We start from the raw sequence: 3497 nt of genomic DNA, 5'->3' as shown, positions 1-3497 counted from the left end.
CTCCTTCCTTGGGAATTCAAAATGATTTTAAAGGGAAAAGCACTTTGCCAGCAAATAACGCCCATTTTCTTACTGGGTACCTCCAATGAGATGACTTTTTTGAACACTTGCTCTTTGGAAAAGGATGGTAGATCCTTGATATGTTTTTATCAGTACATCAAAACAAACCAAAACATACTATGTTTTTCCACAAAATTTCTTCTCTGAAGAGATATTTGAGCTCAACCTTCAGGTAGCTAATTACTACTGAAAAAATTAAAAATAGAGTAGATTGGTAACTATGAATTAAATATAGTCATCAACATACTTGGCCCTTCATGCTACCTGGCCACATTTCTATGTTCCTCATAACTCTGAATCTCTTCCTAATCAATTTTAGCTCTTACTACTCCAAGAAATAAACACACTCCACTTATAGCTGTCACAAATATCACCAATGACTACCTATTACCAAAATCTTGACATTTTGGTCATTTTCTAGTTGATTTTTTTCTGTGCTGTATTTTTTTAAAAATATACATTCTAAATAATTCTCTTATCTTGCTTTTAAAACCTCTAGCTCTTCTCTAAGCTTCAGACCCACAAATGCATAACTTATGAATTTGATGTTTTAAGGTACTCTGAACTCTTTAGGTTCAAAACAGAAATTGTGATTTAATCCATCAACTCTGGTTCTCTTCCTATGTGAGTAAGTAGAATAAATGGATTATATTTGCTACATGAAAGCAGAATTCTAAGATCCATTATTTGCACCTCCTTCTTCTTCACCCCATTCCCAATCCATCATTAAGCCACTTTGACTTTGCTTCCTAAATATATCTCACATTTGTTATCTTCTCTTCATATCACATATTCCATTTCTCAGCTAAGATATCTTTATCTCTTGCCTGGTCTCCTGTTATTCCTAATTTGCTTGTCCTCATTAGAATTCATTTATTACAGGCCAGGCGCAGTGGCTCATGCCTGTAATCCCAGCACTTTGGGAGGCTGAGGCAGGCAGATCACCTGAGGTCAGGAGTTTGAGACCAGCCTGAACAATATGGAGAAGCCCTGTCTCTACTAAAAATACAAAATTAGCCAGGTGTGGTGGCACATGCCTGTAATCCCAGCTACTAGGGAGGCTGAGGCAGGAGAATCACTTGAACCTGGGAGGCAGAGGTTGCAGTGAGCCAAGATTGCGCCATTGCACTCCAGCCTGGGCAACAAGAGCGAAACTCCGTCTCAAAAAAAAAAAAAAAAAAAAAAGAATTCATTTATTACAAAAGTAAAAATTTTATCATGCCACTAATTTGATTAAAAGCCTAAAATGGTTTCCCGCTGCTTTTATATCAACACCTAAACCTTTTTCCTGGCCCACAGGACTGGTGAAGTCCAGATCATTTCTCCTCTGCAGCCTCATTTAATGCCACTCTTCACTTTTTTCCCTGAGATTCAATACCTCTGGCTTTGTTTCTGGCCCTCAGACACAACTTATTTCAATTGTTTGTGTGCTCTTTGCATATGCTTTTTAGTCCTTTTGCCTAGACTTCCTTTTCTTCTCATGGCTTTTTACTACCACTAAATGTCACCTCCTTGGGAAAGTCTTCTTTGATGCTTCAAATTAGATAGATGCCCCACTGATATTCTCTTAAATTGTTTTTATTGTTGGAGTATTTGCCAGAGCTTGGACTTACACATTTATGTGACTATTTAGCTTATAATAGTCTCTTACACAATACTCTAAGCACCATGATAACAAGGACCATCTATTTTACTCAGGAATGTATCCTCACTGCTAAGCACCAACAGGTACTTCATAAATATTTATTGAATAAGCATTTAAAAGTACATGAATCAATGGATACCTGAGTGAGGAGTGGTGGCTACGTCTTTGTTAAGCTCCTCTGTTTTTTTTTAAGATATTAATCTTATTCATAGATTGGCTTACCATCAAAAAATATTAGCACCACTCTTATCTTACAACTTATAATTGGTATACTTCACAGTCCTCTTAGCGAGATAATCATGTTGAATTCAAGACTGTTAAATAATTTTGAAGCTTCAGTTGAGGAAAAGTAGTATATCTATGGAGATTTGTTTTAAAAGCTATTTTCTAGTTCAAAGAATTTCAACCAATGCTTTTGACATCCCTTCCTGAAGGCACTGGTGGGTGATTGGGATGGATATAGATGAGGAGCGAGTATAGAATTATCACAAAAAATGTTCTAATTTTCCATAATTATATCAAGAATATTAACTAGACTGAATAGTAGCTTTTTGTGTATGTACTACATTTTTAAATATATAAAAATGCTATTGTGACAAACAAAATATAGCTTTCTTAATAATTATTTTTGGATTTATAGTAGCTTTCACTGTAATCCTTTCTATCAACAGATAGTATTAATAAAAGCATAATTATTATCGTTAAGGATATGGGACCATTTTTTAATATCATAAAGTCTATTTAATCAGCTTTGGGCATTAATGTGGCTTAGTAAAGCATCTCATAACTCAATGGCTTAAAATATAATAATTCATTTGCCCTATATGTCAGCAAATTATCTCTTGGTTGGTTGATCTATGCTGGTTTTGTCTGGGTTTGGCTTCAAACTACAGGTTGGGTCAGGTCTGCTACGTGTGTCTTTCATCTCCCTGAGATGAAAGTGGACTAGGCTGGGCGTGGTGGCTCACGCCCGTAATCCCAGCATTTTGGGAGGCTGAGGCCGGTGGATCGCGAGGTCAGGAGTTCAAGACCAGCCTGGCCAACATGGTGAAACCCCGTCTCTACTAAAAATACAAAAAATTAGCTGGACATGGTGGAGCGTGCCTGTAATCCCAGCTACTCGGGAGGCTAAGGCAGGAGAATTGCTTGAACTTGAACTGAGACCTGGGAGGCGGAGGTTGCAGTGAGCCAAGATCACGCCACTGCACTCCAGCCTGGGCTACAGAGCAAGACTATGTCTCAAAAAAAAAAAAAAAAAAGAAGTGGCTAGTTGGACGCACATTATCTATTACCAATGGGAGAAAAACAAGATATATGAAAGAAAACCCTCGATATCTCTTAAGGACTAGGCTCACACTCGGTACAATCTTAATTTTGCCCAGACTTCACTGGGCAAAGATTACCTGGCAAAGCCTAATATTAGTGATGTGGAGAAATAGGAGCTGGTTCTAGTGCAAGAAGCTACACAGTCACAAGAAAATGGGATGCATACAGAGAGGAAGGAAGTATCAGGAAAAGAAAAGACATTCTATCGCACAAAGTATTTCTCTTAATTGAGAAAATTGAGATCCATTATTTCAGATTTCTAAAAATTTTTTCTATTAAGTCAGAGCAACAGAGGGGTGCAATTTTTAGCTACATCGCCAATTCATTTATCTATAATTTAGTGATTTGTTTATTTATAATTCACTTAATAAAAATACACTTTTTGATGTATGATTCTGGGAGTTTTGATAAAGCATAGTTACATAACCTCTACCACAATCAGGATGTAGAACAAGTGCAATTGTCA

The 3497-nt window shown here is 36.9% G+C and overlaps 1 annotated feature.

Annotated features, from left to right (window-relative positions):
* Positions 2947-3116: an enhancer, noted in NCBI's record as "experimental_87752 CRE fragment used in MPRA reporter constructs". NCBI's record gives its function as "activates a minimal promoter by MPRAs in K562 erythroleukemia cells, with activity observed for the non-introgressed 6:115508283 variant allele {active_cell/tissue: K562}" and the evidence as "EXISTENCE:reporter gene assay evidence [ECO:0000049][PMID:34662402]".

Source organism: Homo sapiens, chromosome 6, assembly GCF_000001405.40.
Source record: "Homo sapiens chromosome 6, GRCh38.p14 Primary Assembly".
Taxonomy (NCBI): domain Eukaryota; kingdom Metazoa; phylum Chordata; class Mammalia; order Primates; family Hominidae; genus Homo; species Homo sapiens.
This window is presented reverse-complemented; position numbering and strand designations above follow the sequence as displayed.